Below are 26,094 nucleotides of genomic sequence, written 5' to 3' on the forward strand. Positions count from 1 at the left end.
TTAGACACTATAGATAATGATTTTTTGGTGGTGGTGTTTTTGAGATGGAGTCTTGTTCTGTCACCCAGGCTGGAATACAGTGGCACGATCTCAGCTCACTGCAAGCTCTACCTCCCAGGTTCAAGTGATTCTCCCACCTCAGCCTCCCGAGTAGCTGGGACTACAGGTGCATGCCACCACACCCAGGTAATTTTTTGTTTTGTTTTGTTTTTGAGATGAAGTCTCGCTCCATCGCCCAGACTGGAGTGCAATGACGCAATCTCTGCTCACTGTAACCTCCACCTCCCGGGTTCAAGAGATTCTCCCGCCTCAGCCTCCAGAGTAGCTAGGATTACAGGCATCTGCCATCATGCCCGGATAATTTTTGTATTTTTAGTGGAGATGGGGTTTCACCATATTGGCCAGGCTAGTCTTGAACTCCTGACCTCAGGTGATCTGCCCACCTCGGCCTCCCAAAGTGCTGGGATTACAGGCGTGAGCCACTGCACCCAGTCTAATTTTGTATTTTTAGTAGAGACGGGGTTTCACCATGTTGGTCGGGCTGGTCTCAAACCCCTGACCTCAAGTGATCCACTCGCCTCGGCCTCCCAAAGTGCTGGGATTACAGGCGTGAGCCACTGCTCCCGGCCAATTTTTGTATTTTTAGTAGAGATGGAGTTTCACCATGTTGGCCAGATTGGACTCAAACTCCTGACCTCAGGTTATCCGCCTGCCTTGGCTTCCCAAAGTGCTGGGATTACAGGCGTGAGCCACCGAGCCCTGCTGTTACTGAACGATTTTTATTATTTATTTCCCTCACTAGAAGTTAAACCTCCTTGGGCAAGGACTGTGACTTACTCTTTTATCTCCAGTATCTAGAACAGAAGCTGGTGCAAGTCAGTACTCAGTATTTGTTTAATGAATGAATGAGTGAAAAAATTATTGATAAGGGGAAAGAAAGTAATTTTGACTGCAACGCTAAAAATAAATTACAATTACCGGAAGAATTGGAATGCCTGTATTTCAAAGCTCTGGGTCAACTTCAGGCAAATATTATAGAATGAAAATCTGTAGCCAGGCACTGTGGCTCATGCCTGTAATCCCAGCACTTTGGGAGGGAGAGGCGGGTGGATCACGAGGTCAGGAGTTCGAGACCAGCCTGGCCAACATGGTGAAACCCTGTCTCTACTAAAAATACAAAAATTAGCTGGGCATAGTGGCATGCGCCTGTGGTCCCAGCTACTCAGGAGGCTGAGACAAGAGAGTTGCTTGAACCCGGCAGGCGGAGGTTGCAGTGAGCCAAGATGGCGCCACTGCACTTCAGCCTCGGTGAAAGAGTGATACTCCATCTCAAAGAAAAAAAAAAAAAAAAGAAAATGTTGTAGGCTGTTCTTTTCTTTATCAGTTCTGAAAACTTATAGCTTGGAATGGCAATGCTCATAATTATAGTGTTAATTGGACTTAAACTTTTGTACAGTTGTCAAAAGCAAAGTCAAAATAGTTTCAGAATTTTGAGGAAAGAAGTATACTGCATTGTTTTATAGACCTATGTCCTCTTCTGCACTGGTTTTCCAAATGCAGGTGTGCCTTGGTTTATACAGTGGATATGATTCTGAAAAAGCTATATATCAAAATTAAATCATATTTAAAAACTTGCTACTTTTTAATGATTCAAATTTGTGTTATAACACTCTCACACTGGAATTTTCTCTTTCTTGCCCTTCCTTCCTCCCTCCCTCCCTTTATTCTCTTTCTTCCCTTTACTTTTCTTCTGTCTTTCTTTTTTCTTTTTCTTAGGTGGGATCTCACTCTGTCACCCAGGTGGGAATGCAGTGGCACCATTTCAGCTCACTGCAACCTCCGCCTCCCGGGCTCAAGGCATCCTCCCACCTCAGCCTCCTGAGTAGCTGGGACCACAGGTGCATGCCACCACGCCCAACTAATTTTTTGCATTTTTTAGTAGAGATGGGGTCTCGCCATGTTACCCAGGCTGGTCTCGAACTCCTGAGCTCAAGTGATCTGCCTGTTTAGGCCTTCTAAAGTGCCGGGATTACAGGCGTAAGCCATTGCACCTGGCCTCACACTGGAATTTTCTACGCACCTGATGAGGTATGCTTGTGGCAGTGGTTCTCAAAGTGGGGTCCTGGAACCAGCAGCATCAGCAGCACTTTGTTAAATATGCAGATTCTCAGGTCCCACCTCAGACTTAATCAGAAACACTGAGGGTGGGGACTAATAATTTTTACCCTCCAGGTACTTTTATTCATGGTAGTGTTTGAGAATCACTGCTTGATGAGATATAGAAATAAAAACTTGTTATGGATGGTGGCTGTTTTGTAGACAAGATAAAGACATATGCACAAATGACAGTAATAACTAATAAAAGTGACATTTGCCATAAGATGGTCATAAAGTGCAATTGGAATTTGGGGGAGATGTGATTACTTCATTATGAACATGATATCCTCATTCATTCATTCATTCATTCATTCATTCATTCATTGAGGCATTCTAGGTCCTAAGACTAAGTAAGGCACAGTCTTTGACTTAACAAGCTGAAGTGACATAATAGGTGGTTCTCCTTGCTAATTACCACATGGCTAGATTACACAATCCAATGATCTCCACACTTAAAAGTGCATTTGAATCACTTGGCAGGCTTATTAAAACACAAATTGTCAAACCCCATGCCCAGAGTTTCTGGTTCGGTAAGTAGGTGGGTGCCAAAAATTAGTATTTCCAAAAATTTTTCAGGAGATAACTGATGCCACTTGTCCAGGGTTTGCAATTTGAGAATCACTGATATAGTCAGTAATTTAAAGACAGTAGTACTAATGCCCAGAAATATGACTTTGTTTAACAAAGCTGGCCTAAGCTAGAAATGAAACCAGATTCCCAGTTCAACATAACCTCTACTGCAGCCTGCCTTTGTGACCCCTGAAAGAGGATGCCTGTTTGATCTCACAGGGATTCTAACACTTACAGGACAGTAAAGAATGGATGACTTTATGATACTTCATCTGTCTCATTTTTATGTTGTATTTTAATTTCTTATTCCAAAATCAGCCATGTTTCTGACATCTACAATGCAACTGTGAACCATCAAGCTCTCCATTCTGTGTAGGGAGATCTGATCTGTACATAAAAGTAACATTTGAATTACAATATCACCTTGAAAAGAGTAATATATAATATATTTTATTATCTTCCTGATAATAGGAGGTTTTGAGGACAAAGATCCTCAATTACAAAATATTTCTCCCTTGTACCTCTCTGTTAGATGACTGTGAAACTAACAAAAGACCATGTTTGTTGAGAGAAAGGCATAAAAATATGTACTGGGAGACAAATCAGTGGAGATAATAGGCTGTGGGTTCTTTGCTGATAATTCACTCTATTTCAAAAGTATGTGTGGTTTATCCATAAATCCATGATTAAGTTCTCTAATTCTGTAATTTGGAGAAAATATATTAATCTTTTTTGAATGGAGATAAAGATAGATTCCCCCAAATTTAATTAATCTATTTTGCATCCTTGAATGATTACATGAAAACTCAGACCCCTCAGCATAAATTATGTAATTGAATTTCAAATGATAATGTGGAAAAATTGGGCATGGATGAAAATAATATATTCCCAATTGTATAATGACTTTCTTTGACCATTTAAAAATATTTTAATTGCTTTTATTTTAAATCAAGTATTTTAAGGAAACTATTTTGATGATTTGAAGGTGAGCACTGAGAAGGACTAGAAATGAGGAAGAGAAGTAGGGGCCTGATGGTATTTTAGTCTCAACAGATGAATTCTGGTGGATATTGGATGGTTGGTTTGCTTAATCCTGTAGTGATTAATGGCCTATCAAGGGATGAGAACATATTTTACACACTTATTTCCTAAATATATGTGCTAAATTCCTACCATGGAATCAATGCTATTACATAAAGGATAGGGAAAATCTCTCTGTGTTTAGGTTTCTCCTCTCCCCTGCGGTTAATCTCCCCTTTCTCCCATTTTGTCAAATAGGGTATAAAAAATGTTAAGACTTCAACGCAGTTAAATCTTAGGCACTTTCACTTGTCACAGTCATCACCCAGTCTCCCAAATTAAAGAGCAGCTGTTCAGATTCTCTTGGGTAGGACATGATGAGTCTTATTTCCTACTTCCTGTGGAGCTCAGTTTAAACTATTTCTGATCCTCTAGAACTTGAGGTAATCATCTACTCTGTAAAAGAAGACAAAAACTCAATATTACTTTCTTGAGTAATTTGGATGGCCATTTATTGCTTTCATCCTGAGAACAACTGGTTTATTTTGCCTCCAAATATAGCATTCTTAGAGTTGCCTGAAAGAATTTATTTCATATACCTATGTTGCATCGCTAGAAATAGCATAAAGTTTCTGCCCCCTGTGAAATAAAGCCAGATAATTGGGTGATCTCTTTTTTTAAAAAAAGAGTTTTTGTGTTGTCAGTAATCCGACTTCGGCAGAAAGCTGCTTTCTGATGCAATTTAACTCAGTTTTCTGAAATTGGCTTCTTGGGCTCTAAAAAGAAAAAGAAAAGTGATGGTTGAGTGAGAGGAAAGAGAGAATTTTAACTAAGGATGAACTGGATCTCTAATAGGTTTTTTTCCCTTCTATCTACTTTTCCTGCGAGTAGAGGTTTAGGGGAAATTTTAGTTTTGAAGTGCCTTTCAGCCCAGATTTCCTGGCTTTTAAGTATACAGAGTAATTTCATCACTGAATCCACTTGATTTCATTATTATGATGTAAAAATCAGGGTGGCAGTTGGGGGTTTGGGGGTGGGTGGTGACTCACACCTGTAATCCCAGCATTTTGGGAGGCTGAGGTAGGAGGATCATTTGAACTCAGGAGTTCAAGACCAACCTGGGCAGCATAGTGAGACCTCAGTCTCTACTAAAAATAAAAAAATAAAAAAAATAGCCGGGCATGGTGGCACATGCCTGTACTTCCAGCTACTGGAGAGGCTGAGGTGGGAAGATCGCTTGAGCTCAGAAGTTCAAAATTGCAGTGAGTTATGATTGCACTACTGCACTCCAGCTTGGGCAATAGAGTGAGACCTGTCAAAAAAAAAAAGGAAGAAAGAAAGAAAAGAACAAAAAGTAAAAAGAAAAGAAAAGGAAAGGACTGGGTGTGGTGGCTCATGCCTGTAATCTCAACACTTTGGGAGGCCAGGGCAGGTGATCACTTGAGATCAGGAGCTTGAGACCAGATGGCCAACATATTGAAACCCTGTCTCTATTGAAAATACAAAAATTAGCTAGGTGTGGTGGCAAGCGCCTGTAATCCCAGCTACTCAGGAGGCTGAGGCAGGAGAATCATGGAACCTGGGAGGTGGAGGTTGAAGTGAGCCAAGATCACGCCTCTGCACTCCAGCCTGGGCAACAGAGCAAAACTCAGTCTCAAAAAAAAAAAAAAAAAAAAAAGAAAAGAAAAGAAAAGAAAAAACCAGATGTTCTTAATATTAGTGTGTCAGATTGTTTTACCATTGTAGCTCAAACTTTAATATGCATGTAAGTCACCCAGAAATTTTTCTAAAATGCAGGTCCTGATTGAATAGGTTTGAGATTCTGTAATTCTAACATGCTCCATGATGTTGCTGATGGTCTTCACTGGACATAGTCCTCCCTTTGAATATCTCAGATGTATACCATGTAATTCATAAGTGAGTTTATATGTGAAAGTTTATTACTGTCTTGTTCCTTACTTCTCTCTCTACTTTTTTTTTTGATATACATGAGACAGCTTCTCAAGATTAAATAATTTCTCTGGATTTCAAAGGTTTCATTGTAGAAAAAAATTATGATTATGGAAAAGAGCTTTAAAAATAATTGTTTTCTAAGGTAGAGAATTTGGACTTAAAAGAAGGTTTTGTTTTCAATAATCAAAAGAAACCAAGGTTGAAACCTTAGCATCTCTTTGAATTAAAAAGTTTGAAAATGTGTCTAATTCCTAATGATTCATTTTGACTACCCTGAATTCTTCAGTTCTCATTTCAACATGAATGTCAGTGCTTAGAGAAATTTAGTGTCACTGAAAATCAGGTCCTATTTTATGAATATCAATGAATAGTTTTAAACCAAATTTAATTTTAGAATGTATGTTTTGTTTTGTTTTGTTTTGTTTTGTTTTTGAGACAGCGTCTTGCTTTGTCGCCCAGGCTGGAGTGCGGTGGCATGATCTCAGCTCACTGCAACCTCCGCCTCTCGGGTTCACGCCATTCTCCTGCCTCAGCCTCCCGAGTAGCTGGGACTACAGGCGCCCGCCACCACGCCCAGCTAATTTTTTGTATTTTTGGTAGAGACAGAGTTTCACCGTGTTAGCCAGGATGGTCTCGATCTCCTGACCTCGTGATCCGCCCGCCTCAGCCTCCCAAAGTGCTGGGATTACAGGCGTGAGCCACTGCGCCCGGCTAGAATGTTATGTTTTAAGAGTCTGGATACCAAATAAATATGACGTGGTTCAATGACAGTTGAATTGTTTCATACTTTTTATCTCTCTCTTAATAAAATATACATTTGGGGAAATAGGAGTCCAGGAAATTTGGAGTGCCAGTGAATGGATAGCATATTCTGCATCCAATGTGTAATTAAATTGTGGGCCCAAAAGCCTCACAGATAAGATTAAGCCTTTTTTTTTTTTTTTTTTTTTTTTTTTTTTTTTTTGAGACAGGGTCTCACTCTGTCGCCCAGGCTGGAGTGCAATGGTGCAATCACCATTCACTTCAGCCTTGACCTTCTGGGCTCAAGCAGTCCTCCCACCCCAGCCCTGCCAGTAGCTGGGACCATAGGTGCACATCACCACACCCAGCTAACTTTTGTATTTTTAGTAGAGATGGGGTTTCGCCATGTTGCCCAGGCTGGTCTCTTTCTCTTGGGCTCAAGTGATCTGCCTGCCGTGGCCCCCCAAGTGCTGGGATTGCAGGTATGAGTCACTGCGCCTGGCCTTCTGTTGTATTTCTGGGTTGATGCACAGATAATTTTATCTGTCAACTGTACCAATCAATTTCAACAACAATGGTTTATTTAGCACCTGCTGTGTGCCAGGTTTTATTTATATATATATATATATATATATATATATATATATGTATATATATATATATATTTATGTAATCTCATATAATCCTTGACATAATACTACATGTAGACAATGTTTCTTCTTTTTTATCCCAGAGAATTTAAATAATTTATGAGGTTGAGCAGATAAAAAGACACTGAGCTGGTTTGTTTCCTTCCTCCCTCCCTCCCTTCCTTCCTTCCTCCCTCCCTCTCTTTCTTTCTCTTTCTGTCTCTCTTTCCTTCCTTCCTTCTTCCTTTCCTTTCCCTTTCCCTTTCCTTTCTCTCACTCTGTCACCCAGGATGGAGTGCAGAGGTGTGATGTTGGTTCACTGCAACCTCTGCCTCTGGGGTTCGAGTTATTCGTATGCCTCAGCTTCCCAAGTAGCTGGGATTATAGGCATGCACCACCACTCCTGCTAATTTTTGTATTTTTAGTAGAGACAGGGTTTCACTATGTTGGCCAGGGTGATCTCAAACTCCTGAGCTGAATAGATCCACCTGCCTCGGCCTCCCGAAGTGCTGGGATTACAGGTACAAACCACCACACCCGGCCAACTGAGCTAGTTTTCTAATATGTCTATTCTCTGGCATGATCACAGCTCACTGCAGCCTATGCCTCCCAGGTTCAAGCGATTCATGCCTCAGCATCCTGAGTAGGTAGGGTTAAATGTGTGTGCCACCACACCTGGCTAATTTTTGTGTTTTTTAATAAAGATGGGGTTCCACCATGTTGGCCAGGCTGGTCTTGAACTCCTAGCCTCAAGTGATCTGCCTTCCTCAGCCTCCCAAAGTGCTGAGATAACAGGCATGAGCCACCATGCCTGGCCCAATAATGATGTTCTTATTCTCATGTGCCTCCTATACTGCTGCTCCTGAAATGCTAACTAATTTTAAATATTTGTGTACAACAAATATAGCTGTGGTTCATGTTGTTTCTGTTGTAGAAAAAAATAGATTATATTACATTCTTAAACCAAGTAGTTGGTATATTATGATTTTTGTACTTTTGATTTTCCCATTTGATTGTCTTACTCTGTTAATTAAAGGGATTTAAACTTTTTTAAAAAATTAGATGACCATGATAATAGTTGTTTTAAAAATGCTAATCCACATTTGTAGTTCATTAAAGGCAATCATGACAGCTCTGTCTGAGTCTTTGCCCCAGATATAGTTATTGGCATTTCTTCACGATTTTATTGCTTAGTTTTTTTATTATGACTGTAATGTTTAGCATAAAAATGATTCAATCATTACTTTATAAGTAAACAGATTTGTTTAAAGTCCAGTTTTTCTCAAATGAAACTATTATGTTAAAACTAACCTTTTCATAGTGATTTATTTCTACAGTTTTCTCTTCAATACTTTCTAAAGATAAAGTGCTTGTCTTGTTCATTTATAAAATCAGGTATGAGCATAGAATGGCAGCAAGCAAAAGAAATACAGATTATGTCTGGTGAAGCCACTTACATTTTCCTGTTGATTCCTACATTCTACTCATATCCACTTAAAATCTAACTCTAAAATGTCACACACTATATCAATAAACAAAACTTTTTGTAAAACTCTTACAATTTTTTGTCATAGTTGAAAAATGATAATCAGTTTTCCTATAAATTGCTTTGAAAATAAATTATATATTTTTAACTCTAACATCTGTTTTGAAGCAGACAAATCACTTGCCCAAGGAAGGAATTTCTCTTAATTTTTTTCCAGGAAATTTTTCCACACACTCATATAAAACTCTTATTTAAATAATTGTGGCTCACAATGTGTCTAGAATATTTCTTTCCAAATTAGGTCTGCTTTGCAAATATTAAATGGTAATCTATCCTCATGTAGTTGTGAGGGAGAGAAAGTGGAATGCAATGTTGTAAACATTGTTCAGCAAGTTACATTTGTTTACTATCACATGCATTAATCTGGAATAGTTTTATTCTTTATTCTCCCATTTGATTGTTAGATTGTCAGTTGGTGTCATTAAACTCACTGAAGGATAGTGTTTGTCACAAGTTCACTTAAGCAAGATGCCCATATTCTAGCTCTACATTTAAAGTTGCTTCACTTCGTAGGAACTCGTTTTGCATTTATTAGGAAGATTAGCAGGAATTTAAAAAAAAAATTTGTTTTGAAATGAGTTCTCACTATGTTGCCCACGCTGGCCTGAAAGCCCTGGTCTCAAGAGATCCTGATACCTTAACCTTCTGAGTATCTAGGTCTGTAGTTATGCACCACCACATCCAGCTAGATTTTTATTTTTTTAGTAACTTTTTCTATCATTTGATTAATGGAGTCACTTTTAGTTTGCAACAATCATGTCAGTGCAATTAAGGCATCCATTTATAAATGCTACAAACACAATCCTTTTTAAAAATTAAATTTTGGGTGCCTAACTGTCATTCGTGAATGTGCTTCCTTAGCTAGAGTCAAAAGATAAAAGCCTTGTTTTTTAATTAAATACTTTGGGTGGATGTTTGGAATGTAATTGAGATTTTTATTTTATTGAAGGCAACTTTTAATTTATTCTTTTGTTGAATCAAACTATAATGTATAGTGTTTTAATTAGAGCATAGTATCAGTCAGTTATGCTGTAGGTTTAAAAGAGTAATGGGAGTAGCTTACAAAATATTAATCTTAAGAACTCAATACATTCAAGCATTTCAGATTTTTAAATAATTTTAACCAATTATTTAAATAATTGGTTTTAAATAATTGGTTTCAAGTCATGTACTAATTTTAAGAGATTGTTGTGAATATGGTAGATATTACCTGAAACAAGACAATGAGATAAATGTTTCAGGCTTGAATTCTGGAAAGTACAACTGAATGTATTTTCTTAGCTTGTGCATGGGAAAATTGTCTTTAATAGCTCTAAAATACGGGTCTGAAAAATATAGGTATATTTAATAGGAATCATGAGATTTAGTTTTCAAAATTGAATATACACAGGAAAATCTTATCTTAAAAATAATCCAAGGCCGTGCATGGTAGCTCAAGCCTGTAATCCCAGCACTTTGGGAGGCCGAGACAGGAGGATCACCTGAGGTCGGGAGTTCGAGACCAGCCTGGCCAACATGGAGAAAACCTGTCTCTACTAAAAAATACAAAATTAGCCAGGCATGATGGTGCATGCCTGTAATCCCAGCTACTCGGGAGGCTGAGGCAGGAGAATCGCTTGAACCCGGGAGGCAGAGGTTGTGGTGAGCTGAGATTGTGCCATTGCACTCCAGCCTGGGCAAAAAGAGCTAAACTCCATCTCAAAAAAAAAAAAAAAAAAAAAATCCAAAATATGTATCTCCACTGAAGGGTTGCAATATATCAATGTATCATAAGTAATTATTTACTGATAGTAATTACATTATGAAACTTGGAGGAATGGTAACTTTTCTTTCTTCATTTTTTAATTATTATTTTTAAAATTGAGACAGGGTCTTGCTCTATTGAGACTGAAGTGTAGTGGCACAATCACAGCTTACTGCAGCCTCAAACTCCCAGGGTCAAGCAATCCTCCTGCCTCAGCCTCCCAAGTAGCTGGGACTTACAGATGAGTGCCACCATGCCTGGCTAATTTTCTTTTCTTTTTTTTTTTTTCTGAGACAGAGTCTCACTTTGCTGCCCAAGCTGGAGTGCAGTGGTACGATCTTGGCTTACTGCAACCTCTGCCTCCTGGGTTCAAGCGATTTTCTTGCCTCAGCCTCCCGAGTAGCTGGGATTACAGGTGCACACCACCACGGCTGGCTAATTTTGTTTTTTTTTTTTTTACCAGAGATGGGATTTCACAATGTTGGCTAGGCTAGTCTCGAAGTCCTGACCTCAGGTGACCCACCCCCCCTTGGCCTCCCAAAGTGCTGGGATTACAGGAGTGAGCCACTGCACTCGGCCCTGGCCAATTTTTATATTTTGTTGTAGAGACCAGGTTTCACCAGGTTACCAAGGCTGGTCTTGCTCCTGAACTCAAGTGATCTGCCTGTCTCGGCCTCCCGAAGTGCTAGGATTACAGGTGTGAGCCACCAAGCCTGGCTAGGTTACTTATTTTCTTTATAAGCAGAGTATATTCAAGATGAACTATTTTATGATGAGATTTTTACTCACATTCACTTGCATTCTCATGAACTCTCTTGAAAGGAAAAAAATGAATGAAGTTAGAGTGAACATTTTAGAGACTTCTTGGGAGTGTGTCTATGGAGATCATCACTAGTGAAGGTTTCTGCAGAAAAAAAGCTGATTGCTGCTCTTACGGGTCATTTGTTCACAGTGAAAGTAGCTTTTTAACTTGAAATGTCCTATTGTGTAGAAAACAATGGGAAATGGGATAAATTTCATATGGAGAAAATAAACGCTTACCTTTTCATTTTGATTTATTTTAGTTTCCAAAAACAGACTCGAACCATTACCATTTGACTTCAGATAAAGAATAAAACTTCAATAAAAGAAAAACCTTAAATTTGTATATATTTCTTAGGTGAAAATCAGCAAAATTCCAGAAGGATGAAGTTTATTTTTACATGTGTTTTAAGCATGCTGCTAAAAGATAAATGGCAATGTTATTTGTAGTTTTAAATTTCTTTTTTGCAAATACAGTTTAGAATTTGGGAGAAGGCTGGGCGAGGTGGCTCACGCCTGTAATCCCAGCACTTTGGGAGGCTGAGGCGGGCGGATCATTTGAGGTCAGGAGTTTGAGACCAGCCTGGCCAAAATGGTGAAACCCTGTCTACTAAAACTACAAAGACTTAGCTGGGTGTGGTGGTGCATGCCTGTAATCCCAGCTACTCAGAGGCTGAGGCAGGAGAATCGCTTGAACCCAGGAGGCGGAGGTTGCAGTGAGCCCAGATAGTGCCACTGCACTCCTGCCTGGATGACAGAGCAAGACTCCATCTCAAAAGAAAAAAAGTATTTGGGAGCAAAAGACAAATAAAGTGGCCTTTCAATTTTGTGCTAATGGAGGTATATGTCCATATACCCACAAGTACTTTTGCAATATACAGCATCTGAATTTGATTTCTGGAAAATGAAATATTGTGAGAGGGGGTTATAACAGTATAGTGAAATTACTTGTTGCTTTCTTTTGTGTGAAATGAAATGTAATTTCAGGCTAATTTAGGGAGTTGAGAGAATTATCTTGAGCTGTTTTACTAAAGTCTTTATTAGCTTCTCTTTCTCTCATTGTTTCTCAGATACTCAGATAGATTCAGTAAGTGCCCAAGGGTACAGCATACCACTTTGACTCCATCGGGAGTTCCCTGGCAGATACATATCAAATCTGAAAAACACAAACCAATTCTAACTACTAATAGTAGTTTTTCAGAAAAGCAGTGCATATTATTTAATTACGGATGATTTATTCATAAGCATTAGGAATATGAAATAAAGTTAATGTATGAAGATTGGTTTCTTACTCTGTGCTGTTATATGCAATAAGATATAAGGTTAACTGGCTTATCCTCAGTGACTTGACCTTTCTCTTTGTTTTCATTATCTTAACGATTTGATTTCATTAAAGAAGCATTAAACAAGGCATTTTATGGTGAATAGCTCAGGCCTTGCACTTTAGAATTCATCTCTTTGGCTATTAGTTGCAAATAGATTGAACTGTACATCAGTAACTCCTACAGCACTTAAAACTTTTCATTCAAAATTCTTAAGTCCTTGCTTCACATCAGAGTTACTTGTGCATTAGAAATTATGGGATTTTATCTGTAATTTTTTTTGTAGTGGCAAAGGGATTTAGGAAAATCTGGTTTATTATCTAGATCTTGTATTAATCACTAAAAGCAAGAAAATGCATAACAGATGATCTTTGTCCCTTCATGTTATGGAAGAAATGATATATTAGAAGAGCAGATGGTACTACAATCTGTTTTTGTCTTAAAATGATTTTCTACTCAAGACTTATTTGAGCCTAGCTCCTGAACAAATTTATTTAATCCCAGACAAAACCTATTCTAAAGTTTATAATACAGTCCCTGCTTCAATTTATTATATTTTTTCCTCCAAATATTTCCATTTTTTTGTTTTAAATATTAATCGAGTAAGTCTGGTTGGAATCTAGGACTAAAATCTGTAACTCTTAATATTCTATTGATAACTTTTGTTCTGTTATCCCCAAGTTTGCATTAATATACACATAGATTCAGGGGCCAACCCATTTGTAAATTGGCAGCTAATAGCAAGACAAAAAAGTTGATTCAGGACTTATAAAGTAATAATTTTAATTTAAAAAAACACTAAAGTATTTCTGAAACCAACCTAAATTTTTAAATTGAATTAATGTCTTCTGCATTTTCAAATTTTATTATCTTTACACCTATTTTTAAAGTTAATTTTAAATTAGCCTTAAAAATTATTTAACATCACCATTTTTCAAGTACCAAAATATAACTTCATCATCTTTTTATAGTTTTTTTGGCATTTGGCATATCTTCACTGACAGTTTATAAATAAACTCTTAAAAATATTATTTTCTGTGAAATAGAGAAATAGTTATAGGAAATTCATTTATCTATGATGCTATTCATCATTATAGTTAAGCTATGACTTGGCATTCCGTTTTATTTAATTTGGGGAAGACCTCTTTTCACATGGATTTGGTATCAATAATTGTGTTTTCCCACAATTTTTAATTATTTGCACTGACTTATAATTATGATAGAGTTCATATACTGTATTTAGGTATCAAGTTATTCCAGCTTTATAAAAAAGTAGTTAGATATAAGTGATGTAGTATTTTAATGGGCTGAATTATGTCCATCCAAAATTCATATGTTCATGTCCTCAGTACTTCAGAATGTGACTGTATTTGGAGACAGAATTTTTATAGAGGTAATTAAATTAAAATGAGGTCATTAGGGTGAGTCATAATCCAATTTTACTGATATCCTTAGAAGAAAAAGAAATTAGGACAGGCACATAGAGAAGTAAGACCATGTGAAGACATAGGGAGAAGATAGCCATTATAAGCCAAGGAGAGAAGCCTTGGGAGAAACCAACCCTACCTACACCTTGATCTCAGACTTCTAGCCTCCAGAATTGTGAGAAATAACTGAAAAATTTTTAAATTTATTTTTTTAAGACAGGCTTTTGTTCTGTCACCCAGGCCTGGGGTGCAGTGGTTGATGACAGCTCACTGCAGCCTCGACCTCCCAGGCTCAAGGGATCCTCCCACGTAAGCCTCCTGAGTAGCTGGGCAGGTGCACGCCACCACACCAGGGTAATTTTTTTTTTTTTTTTTTTTTTTGGTAGAGATGGGGGTCTCACCATGTTGCCCAGGCTGGTTTCGAACTCCCCTCTCAAAGTGCTGGGATTATAGGCATGAGCCACTGTGCCCAGCCAGAAAATAAATATCTGTTGTCTAAGGCACCACGTCTGTGATACTTTCTTATGGCACTTCTAGCAAACACAGGCATATTTAGGATCAGGAAAAAAAAAAATGTCTATTAGAATTTGAATTTCAAAGTTTAAATAATGTAATTTCATTGTTTGTTACTTTAACTACATAATGATCCAATGTGAGATTAAAGGAATTCCTAACTCAGATTTATGTGAGAAGCATTGAGGGAGAATTTGAACTTAATGAAAATTTATCACTTAGTCCAGTCAAAACACAGACATACATTGGAAGCTGAGGCACATATAATAGTGATAAAATCATTAACACTTATCATTAACACTTACATAGTGTTTGTTATGTTCCAGGCACTGTTCTGAATATTTTTTACTTATCAAGTCATTTAACCATTACAACTCTATGAAGTGTAATCTAATTACTATAATCATGTCTGTTTTACAGATGAGAAAACTGAAGCCAAAGAGGTTAAATAACTTGCCCAAGGCCATACTCACAGTGAGGAGTAGAACCATATATGAACCTAATCTTAACTTTCTGCTGGCCTTTTCTTTTCTTTTCTTTCTTTCTTTTTTTTTTTTTTTTGAGATGGAGTCTACCTCTGTCGCCCAGGCTGGAGTGCAGTGGTGCCATCTCGGCTCACTGCAACCTCCACCTCCCGGGTTAAAGTGATTCTCCTGCCTCAGCCTTCCAAGTAGCTGGGATTACAGGTGCCTGCCACCACGCCTAGCTAATTTTTGTATTTTTAGTTGAGACGGGGGTTCACTGTGTTGGCCAGGATTGTGTCAACTCCTGACCTTATGATCTGCCTGCCTTGGCCTCCCAAAGTGCTGGGATTACAAGCGTGAGCTACCATGCCCGGCCAGGCCTTTTCTTTTATTACACTCTGGGAGCTACAGTAAATGTCATGACAGAAGACAAGGGAACTACAAAGGGCACATAACATGTGTATGTCTGCATCTGTTAGGCAAGACTCAGCCAAGTCTCTAAGGAATGGTGTGGTCCAGAGAAGACCACAGACTTAATCCTTCCTAGTCCTACCATAGTTGATTGAGTTATCTGCCTTAACTGCCTACTTTAAAATGAGCATGAGTATTGAGAGCTTCTCCGCGTCAGGTGTGGTGGCTCACCTCTGTAATATCAGCACTTTGGGAGGCCAAGGTGGGGGTATTGCTTGAGGCCAGACATTTGAGACCAGGCTGGGCAACATACTGAGACCACTATCTCTATATTAAATAATATTTTAAATAAAATTATTATTATTATTTATTTATTTATTTATTTATTTATTTATTTATTTATTTTGAGACGGAATCTCACTCTGTCACCCAGGCTGGAGTGCAGTGGTGTGATCTCTGCTCACTGCAACCTCCGCCTCTCGGGTTCAAGCGATTCTCCTGCCTCAGCCTCACGAGTGACTAGGATTACAGGCGCCCGCCACCACGCTCAGCTAATTTTTTGTATTTTTAGTAGAGATGGGGTTTCACTGTGTTAGCCAGGATGGTCTCAATCTCCTGACCTCATGACCCGCCTGCCACGGTCTCCCAAAGTGCTGGGATTACAGGCATGAGCCACCGCGCCCAGCCAAAATTCTTATTTTTTTAACACAACTTCTCTGAAATCAAGGCAACAACCTGAGCTGACAGGAGAAAAAAGAGCAACTCTTTGTCACCCAGGTTGCAGTGCGGTGGTGCCATCTCAGCTCACTGCAACCTCCGCCTTCCAGGTTCAAGTGATTCTTGTGCCTCAGCTTCCCGAGTAGCTGGGATTACAGGGATGCGCCACTACACCCGGCTAATTTTTGTATTTTTTAGTAGAGATGGGGTTTCATCATGTTGGCTAGGCTGGTCTTGAACTCCTGGCCTTAAGTGATCTACCCGCCTCGGCCTCCCAAAGTGCTGGGATTATAGAAATGAGACACTGCGCTCGGTCGTTGTAAGTTATTTTTATTTTTATTTTTATTTAATTATTTTGATACAGTGTCTCGCTCTGTTGCCCAGGCTGGAGTGCAGTGGTGCGATCTTGGCTCACTACAGTCTCTGCCTCCCGGGTTCAAGCGATTCTCCTGCCTCAGCCTCCTGAGTAGCTGGGACTACAGGCGTGCACCACCACGCCAGGCTAATTTTTGTATTTTTAGTAGAGACAAGGTTTCACCATGTTGGCCAGGCTGGTCTCAAACTCCTGACCTCATGATCCACCTGCCTCAGCCTCCCAAAGTGCTGAGATTATAGGCGTGAGCCACTGCGCCTGGCTGTAAGTTATTTTTAATCACTGTCATATAAATAAATAAAATTTACAATTCCCAGGTGAGCAACTCTTAAATTCCCAAGCCAGTGCTACAAGAGCACTGTGACCTAAGTTGGCCATCTGTAGAAAAAACAAAGCAAAACAAAAAACACTTGGTTAATCCCTCTGTGTGGCATTCTGGAAAGGGAAAAACTGTGGAGACAGTAAAAGGATTCGTGGTTGCCAGGAGTTAAGGAGGAGGGAGGGATGAATAGGAGCACAGAGGAGTTTTGAGACAGTGGAACTCCTCTGTGTGATACTATAATGGTAAATACATGTCATTATACATGTGTCCAGACCCATAGAATGCACACCAAGAGTGAACTCTAACGTAACTATGTGCTTTGGATGATAAGGATGAGTCAGTGTAGGCTCATCAATTGTAGCAAATGTACCTGTTTGGTGTGGGATGCTGATAATCAGAGAGGCTATGCATGTATTGCAGCTAAGCGTATACGGAAAATCTCTGTACTTTTTGCTCATTTTGTTGTGAACTTAAAATTGCTCTAAAACATTAAGTCCATATGGAATAAACAAAACACATTTGATTCATTGTTTTCTGATTGATCGATTCATTCAGTAATTCTGCAGACATTTATTGACTGCCTACTGTGTACCAAGCATTGTATTAAAGTTTAGGGATGCCTCAGTAAACGAAACAGGTCAAGCTCCTGTGTTCATGGAGATTATGGGGAAGTCAGATAATAAGTAGCTACATGTAAAATATCAGGTAGCGAAAAGCGCTAAGAGGAAAATTAAACATCTTAAAGGGACGGAGTGCTGTGGGTGATGAGGGGCAGAGCTCTTTAGGCTTTTAGGAAATGCCTCTCTGAGAGGTTACCTTTAATAGACACTTGAGAAAAGTGTAATGGGCTGAGCCATATAAAGATCTTGGGTTAGAGCAACTAAGGCATAAGATCAGCAACAGAAAAGGCCCTGAGGCTTGGGATCTTTGAGGAAAATCAAGGGGCTTGTGAGCCTAGGGCTCAGTGAGTGATGGGAGAGTATTAAGAGAGGCAGTCGGAGAGTGAGCCAGGTGCCAGAGCACACAGAGGCTGGCAGGGGTGCAAACACAGGTTTTATTTTGCTTGTGATAGAAAGAGAGTTGTAAGGTAGGAAGAGAAATGATCTGATCTAATTTAGTCAATGGGGACAAGAGTGAAAGCAGGGTGGCTGTTAGGAAGCTGTGTATAGGAATCTGTTTGAGATCCTGATGTCTTGGAATAAATTAGTGCATTGAAATTGATAGGAAGTGAGTTGAGCCCAAGATCTATTTTTAAGGTATAGGCAAAGAGATTTTCTGGTGAAGTGCACAGGGATTGAGATTGAGAATCATGGATGTTACCAAGGGTTGGTTCAGATAGGTGAATGGTGGTATCATTTATTAAGATGAGGTACACTGGGGAAGGATCAAGTATGGGGATAAGAATTGAGAGTTTAGTTCTGGTTAAGGTGGAGCTGCTTATTAGTATTCGAGTGAAGATGTTTAGTAGGCTGTTGGATATTTGGAGTTCAGGAGACAGGTCAGACCTGAGATGAATATTTGGGAGCCATACTTGCATGGATCACCCAAGTAGTCAGTGTGTGGGGAGCGCTCAGGCCTGAGCTCTGGCTTTCTCCAACGTTTAGAGGGTCCAGTAAAGGGGACAGAGATGGAGGCACTAGTATGACTAAACTACTAAAAACAATGAAAATTGTAAATGTAATATCAGAATCATTAAAATTATTAAAACAAGAGACTGGGACATTCTAGATATTGCGGTACCCATAAATTAATTTATACCTGAAAAGATGCCCCCAAATCCTCATTCTCTTCTCTGCTATATTCAAGGGTATAATTGAGCTACCATCTTTTTCTCAGTCACCAGAGAGACTATGATTTTGAGGTTTAACCATGGATGAAAGAAATGCCAACATGTAAAGAACTTGTGAAGATATGAATATGCCAAATAAGTGAATTTTTGGATATGTGAAAATGCCAAGTTGCAAATAAACAAATATGTAAAAATGAAATATTTGTTGATTTATCGTGAGTGGCTTTTTCATAATTCTAAAGCTTTTGTTAACACTTGCATATCAGTATCACCTGGGAAGCTTTAGAAACATACCAATGCCTGGGATCTACCCCAGACCAATTACATCAGAATTTCTGAAGCATCAACTTTTTTACTTTTTTTACAACACTCCTCAGGAGATTCTGATATGCATCCAGGGTTGAAAACCACTTGCCTCTATGTTCATATCACTTTATGTAGCTGTAATTATTATAATAAATACAATATTGGTTTGATTCTTTTCATATGGTATTTCCTTTTTGCATAATCATTACAATTTGAGACTTGATAAATTGAATAATATTGACATAGTATCATATACAGTTCTTAGTCATTGTCCAATAGTTAAGACAAAGGTTGCATTTAATTTTGGAGGACATGTATAACACTGCAATTAATTTTTTCACCAGTCATATTGTATCCTTCAGCAAAATAGTAGGACATGATATGCAGTTCATTATATTCATATTACTTTCTAAGCCTTTAAAATGATTTACAATCCCCTGGAGTATTTGGGGAAACAGATTCATCACAATCTTACCCAAGTTGAGTGTTAGGTATTTTCTTTTTTAATTGCTAGAGTAGTGGATTGTATTAATAAGAGCACTTTTTCTTGCAAACAGTAGAAACCAACTTGAAGCCTCTTAAAAGAAAAATGAGAATTGCTTTCTTATGTGACTAAAAAGTCCAGAGGTTATCAGAATTTTGGCAGCGATGGATCCAGGGAGTGAAATAATGGTGCAAGATTCAATTTCTCTTTTTCTAGTGGTCAGCCTTGCATTATTCTTCATGGCCTTTATTCTTGGGCAGGACCTGCCAGTTTAGACTCTTTTAATACTCTAGCATAAGCCTGGGATTCATTCTGATCGGCTCAGCCTGAGCTAATCACTTTGGCTACATGCCTCTCTTGGACTCAGGTTTGAAATCTCCATATCAGAAGAACATGGATTCAGAACTGGAGGAGAATGATGCTCTAGAGAGATGCTAGGCAAGCAAAAACCATGTCTACAACATAGATTTGAGATTATGTGTAACTTTTAGCATGCATTTATGTTAATGTTCTAACATTATTATAGTACAATATGTAGGATGTTTACATAGCAACATATACCACATTATTTAATTAAGTAATCATTTTATTTATTTACTGAGGCAGGGTCTCTCTTCATCACCCAGGTTGGAGTGCAGTGGGGCGATCTCGTCTCACTGCACCCTCCGCCTCCCGTGTTCAAGCGATTCTCGGCCTCAGCCTCACGAGTAGCTGGGATTACCGGGGAGCACCACTGTGCCTGGCTAATTTTTGTATTTTTGGTAGAGACAGATTTCACCATACTGGCGAGGCTTGTCTGGAACTCCTGAGCTCAAGTGATCTGCCCGCCTTGGCCTCCCAAAGTGCTGGATTACAGGCATGACCCACTGTGACTGGCCTATTTTAAAAATTATATTTATTTAAATAAAGAATCCTATAAAATATTTATAAAAGAAAAATAAGTGATTTTCAGAATAACAACTTTGCTTGTTAAGAATTCTACATATATAAACTTTTTCTTGACATCTGTAGGTCAAGATTTGGCTCAAATGCTTATGAAATTAGCATTCATAAGCATAGGACATAGTGAAGAAAAACAAACATAAAAAAGAAATTAGCATTGAAATTATGAAATTAGACATGTAGAATGTCCAGTTGCACATATGGTATTCTATGTGATAGTTATTCTGAACATATTGTGCTCTCACAAATTATATCTCTTGAATTTTAGGTGTGGTAGAAGATTCAGCAGCTCCTGAGATATTTCTTTTTAATCTGTTGGTGGTTTATTAAAAAGAGAAATCATAACTTTAACCAGTCCATCACCATAATTTTAAAGTTTGCAAAACACAGCAGCAATCATATATAATTGAAGTTGTATTGGTAAAGAAGAATTATTAATCATTTATTCAAGGTGATGGAGCATAACACTCATGCCTAAAATTCTGAAGGGAAGATGAAAAAGCAATATAGCAATCTCTCTTAAAAGCCAGCTTATCATTTATACAGTACAAGGCACAGGAGTAAAAATAAAGTGCTTATGTTCATTTCTGAAGGCACCACTGATACATTAGAACCCAAAATGTGATAAGGACAAGATTAGATCAAATTTTCTCTGCAGTAATACTGAAACATTTGGTTACATGAGAAAAAATATTTATGCTGTTTCCTATTTGCTTCTTTTTGTTTTCATCTATTAAAATTAATGTGATCTGTAGTAGCAGCATGTCACATTCTTATGATACTTAAGGTACATTTTAATGTGCTATATTAACAAGAATACAGACTAGGAAAATGATTTTTTTAAATTTTTTTTTTTTTTTCTTTTAGGGATGGGGTCTTGCTATATTGCCAGGCTGGAATGCAGTGGCTATTCACAGGAGCGATCCCACTATTGTTCAGCACGGGACTTTTGACCTGCTCCATTTCCGACCTGGGCCAGTTCACCCCTCTTTAGGCAACCTAGTGGTCCCCTCCCAGGAGGTCACCATATTGATGTCGAACTTAGTGCGGACACCTGATTGGCATAGCGCACTACAGCCCAGAACTCCTGCACTATAGCCCAGAACTCCTGGGCTTGAGCAATCCTCCCACCTCAGCCTCCCAAGTAGCTGGGACTACAGGCCCACACCACTCTGCGCCTGGCTGTTTTTCTTTAGTGTTGACAAATTGAGGTCATTTGGCAAGAGAAACAGTGGAAACATAGCAAGGTGGAGAACATTTGTAATTATGGCATGGTATAATATTTTAAGACATGAATCTCTATTTACTTGTGTACACTAACGGCAACTAATAAAATGTCTCTGCTACAGATATACAACAAAATAATATATGTATGGATTGATATTCTTAAAAATTGAGGCTCATAGTAATTTGTCTTTTAACTTTAACTCATGAATTTTATTTGTAATTCATTAGATATAAAATTAGCTCAGAGACTAACTGTATAGAAGTAATATTGGTATTCATCTTCACCTAAGAATGAAGACATTCTTTACACCTAGAATCTTAAAAAATGTTTTTGGCTGAGCGTGATGGCTCATGCCTGTAATCCCAGTACTTTGGTAGGCCGAGGAAGGAGGATCACTTGAACCCAAGAGTTTAAGACCAGCCTGGGCAACACAGGGAGACCCCCTCTCTACAAAAGTTTAAAAAAGAAATTAGCCAGGCATGGTGGTACAGGCCTGTGGTCCCAGGTACTCGGAGGGCTGAGGCAGAAGAATTGCTTAAGCCTGGGAGATCAAGACAATAGTGAGCTGTGGTCGTGCTATCAGAGTGAGACCCGGTCTCAAAAAAAAACAGTTTCTTCAGCTATTTGGTTGGATACAGACAAACTTTCTATTACATTTGAATTTCTGGATCTTCAGGCCTGTCAAATCATTATGCCCTACCCCACATTCTATCCTTATGAATGTTCCAATAATAGACATATTTATAGATGATTTCTACATTTCTATGATTCTAATCTGGATGCATTCTTGCAAGTTAACTTTTCCTTAATTTATTCGTAAAATAAGAGCTAACACTTACTGTTTTTATATGCCAGTTATTCTTCTAAACACTTTACCTGGATGTTGGTACCATTTTACAAATGGAGAAACCGAGTCAAGGGAAGTTAAGTGTCATGCCTACAAACACATAGCTAGTAAATGAAGTTATTCTGGCTTGGATGTCCAATACTCTATGACCTCACATGGAGCCTTATCACCTTTAGGGGGGAACTTCTTTTCTTTGTAAGAGCTAAAGTGTCCATCTACATTTATAGAGCAGTGAAAGAGCTAAAGAGATAGTTGAAGCCTTTCTAGGACACCAATCAATGAGCTCTGAAGAAAATACCAGAAACCAGTTTTAAAATTCTGATTAAAATTTTCATAAAGCATGAAATTAGAAATTCCTCAGACTGTGCTGGGCACGGTGGCTCACGCCTGTAATCCCAGCACTTTGGGAGGCCGAGGTGGGTGGATCACAAGGTCAGGAGTTCGAGACCAGCTTGGCCAACATGGTGAAACCCCGTGTCTACTAAAAAGTAAAAATAATTAGCTGGGCATGGTGATGCGCGCCTGTAATCCCAGCTACTTGGGAGGCTGAGGCAGGAGAATCGTTGGAAACTGGGAGGCAGAGGTTGCAGTGAGCTGAGATTGCACCACTGCACTCCAGCCTGGGTGACAGAGCAAGACTTAGTCTTGGGAAAAAAAAAAAAAAAAGGAAATTCCTCAGACTACACATTTTAAGAAGACAGTATTGAAATTTAATTATTTCTATTGACCTTATGGAATCTAACAGTGGAACCTGACAAAAGTTTCTCCCAGCATTTTTCTTACTGTGCTAAAGAATCACATGTATGATATCACATTGAAGATTGAAACTCTTTCTCACTTAAAAAAATTTTAATGAATATGAGGGTCAAAGTTCTCTTGAAGTTTTCTTTATTTTAACAGAGATTACTTTTAGAATTAAAACTAAAAAGTCCACATAGCTAGAATGTTAGTATGCCAAAACAGTAATAATTTGGAAAAAATTGAGTTGGTTAAAAATCATAGCATTAACCATCTAATGTGGCAGTTCTCATTTTCTTCTCAGAACACTTTTGTGCTCTTAAAAATTGAGAATTAAAAGACCTTTTTTGTTTAGAAAATTTTATTTATTAGTATTTACCATACTAGAAAAAAGGAAACTTCTTTAAAACAATTAATTTTAAAAATAACACATCGTTTAATATTAACATCTATAATATGTTTTTTATATTTATTTATTAACATTATTCTTTTCTTTCTTTTCTTTTCTTTTTCTTTCTTTTTTTTCTTGGAGACAGAGTCTCATTCTGTCACCCAGGCTGGAGTGCAGTGGCATGATCTTGGCTCACCGCAGCCTCTGCCTCTCAGGTTCAAGCGATTCTCCTGCCTCAGCCTCCCGAATAGCTGGGATTACAGGGATATGCCACCAAGCCCGGCTAATTTTTGTATTTTTAATAGAGATGGGGTTTCACCATGTCGGCCAGCCTGGTCTCCAACTCCTGACCTCAGGTGATCTGCCCACCTCGGCCTCCCAAAGTGCTGGGATTACAGGCATGAGCCACCGCACCTGGTCATTAACATTATTATTTAGAGACAGGGTCTTACTCCGTTGCCCAGGCTGGAGTGCAGTGGCATGATCAGAGCTCACTACAGCGTCAAACGCCTGGGCTCAAGCGATCCTCCTGCCTTGGCTTCCCAAAGTGCTGGGACTTCAGGCGTGAACCACCATATATATGTTTTAATGAAGAAATAATATATTTTATAGAACATATAATTAGTGATAAGAATGCATTTTACATTTTTACAAGTATCTTTAATGTTTGGACTAAGAAAATACATTTGGATTCTAATATCTGTTTCTGGATTCAATCTGTTGTGATAATGTTGCTTTGATTGAAGTATAAGAAGACAGTCTGGCCTCATCCAGATATGTAGTTGGAAATAGCATTTTTAAAAAAGATAATTATAGATTTTTTTTCTCTTATTATATCCAACTTGTCAAGTGGTAGTTTCTTGAAGGTTGCTTGCAATGTGGATCTGAAACCATATCAATGAACTTCTCGTCTCTGTTACCTTAAAATTCATTCACTGTCTTGCACTTTAAATGGATCATTATCCATGCGTGATTCTGTAACATCATGCATTGGTCATTTAGAAAATACTGGCTCATTGATTTTGCAGATCTTCCAAATGTTGACATTTCTTTAGGCAGTATCACAAATCACATTTATTCTTATCATCACCAATTTCATCAGAAATGTCTTCAAGTATTGGGCAACTGACAAGCTCATTGTGGAGAATACAAGTTTTTCAAAATTCTAGGTTTAGCTTGAAAGCTTAAATTTTATCATTGGTGACATGTAACGCCAGTTATTTTTCTTGAAGTGACAGTAGAGTGACCAACTTGCTCAGCTTTGCCCAAGACCTCCAAGGGTTTGCAGATCTCACTTTGAGACCTACTGATTTAACAGAATATTGTTTATACAGTGCAAATCACGAATATTTGATATTAATTGCTCTTGAGTAAACATTACCACAGTTCTTACCTTTTTTTTGTCTTTCCGTTCATTGTTATAGAGGTCAATATCTCCATTTAAAACTATATTCACCTCTGGAAAAGGTACTTCAAATAACTTCAAATTATGAATCAGAAATACCCTCTTGATGTGGAGAAGGGTCAGTTAAAAAAAATACTGTGAATATAATATAGTGAATGACAGTCAGGGAAACACTGTCTCCCTAGGGGTCATGGAAATATATGGGCTGGTGTTTTGTTTTATTTGAATTTGTTGTTGCAACTGGGGAGAGGAGTCACTGGCATTTAGTACCCCAGGGTTAGGGATGCTAAATGGCTTCCCAACCAAGAAATCCAACCCCATTAACAAAAACACCACTTTTGAGAAACACTATATGTTCTCTAGCTTTCTGTAGTAAAATGACAAGTGCTTTGTTCCTTCAGGAGGAATATGTACCAAGGAACAGTAAGTGCTATGTCAAAGGAGAAGAAGAAATGACAACATATTGCTGGAAGGTATGTGTGCGAATGGGAATGGGACTGAGTTATATGGCCCTGTTAATAGAATTACTAAGGATGGAGGGAGGAGAGATTGATGGCATGCGTGAGAGCACCACGTCTTCCTTATGAATTACCTTCTCTATCTGGCACCCCCAGCCCTGGTTATGGTATCATTTCAACAAAGATGATTTTTAAGTTGTAATTTATAGTGTGATACATAATATATATACACATACGTTTATTGCGTATTCCAAAATACATTTCCCCTATATTTCCTTATTATTCAATAGGAGGCAACTTGACAAAGTTCTAAAACAAAAATAAAATTTCTGTTTTTTATATAATCTATATAGAATAAAACTGATAGATTTACTATTTTCAGAGTTTTTAGCTACTTAGTTCCTATTGTTTTAAAACAGGAAACTTAGACTCCAAGGAGGGAATAGACTTAGTAAAAAAAAATCACTTGGTAGCTCAATGAAAGTAACTGCCAATACATGGAGATAACTGGACTTAGAAGGTCATGACTAGACCAGGTATTTAGAATTTATTTGCATTTTAAAAGTCTAATCCATTCTTTTTAATTATTGCAAACTCATATGGGTGAAGCTTGAGGTTTTGCTTTTCGGTTTCAATGTTTTATAAAAGCTTAGCTTTTTAGTTGTGGTAAGTATCAAAAGGAAATATTGATTAAAACAAAGTATCTTAATAATCCTTTGTGCAATTTTGTCACAAAACATTCTCAATTTCTCATATACTTTTTTTTTTTTTTTTTTTTTAGGAGACCAGGTCTCAT

The 26,094-nt window shown here is 38.2% G+C and overlaps 1 long non-coding RNA gene and 1 pseudogene across 1 annotated transcript in view; one reads left to right on the plus strand and one right to left on the minus strand.

Annotated features, from left to right (window-relative positions):
* The first annotated feature begins 1,986 nt into the window (after positions 1 to 1,986).
* Positions 1,987 to 26,094, plus strand: part of LOC105374164 (uncharacterized) — a 67,936-nt gene continuing 43,828 nt past the window's right edge. The window contains exons 1-2 of the long non-coding RNA XR_924592.3: positions 1,987 to 2,088; positions 25,242 to 25,313. This is a non-coding gene — a long non-coding RNA (uncharacterized LOC105374164). The remainder of the gene's footprint in view (positions 2,089 to 25,241; positions 25,314 to 26,094) is intronic.
* On the minus strand, positions 21,097 to 21,414 carry RN7SL300P (RNA, 7SL, cytoplasmic 300, pseudogene; annotated as a pseudogene).

Source organism: Homo sapiens, chromosome 3, assembly GCF_000001405.40.
Source record: "Homo sapiens chromosome 3, GRCh38.p14 Primary Assembly".
Classification (NCBI taxonomy): Eukaryota; Metazoa; Chordata; class Mammalia; order Primates; family Hominidae; genus Homo; species Homo sapiens.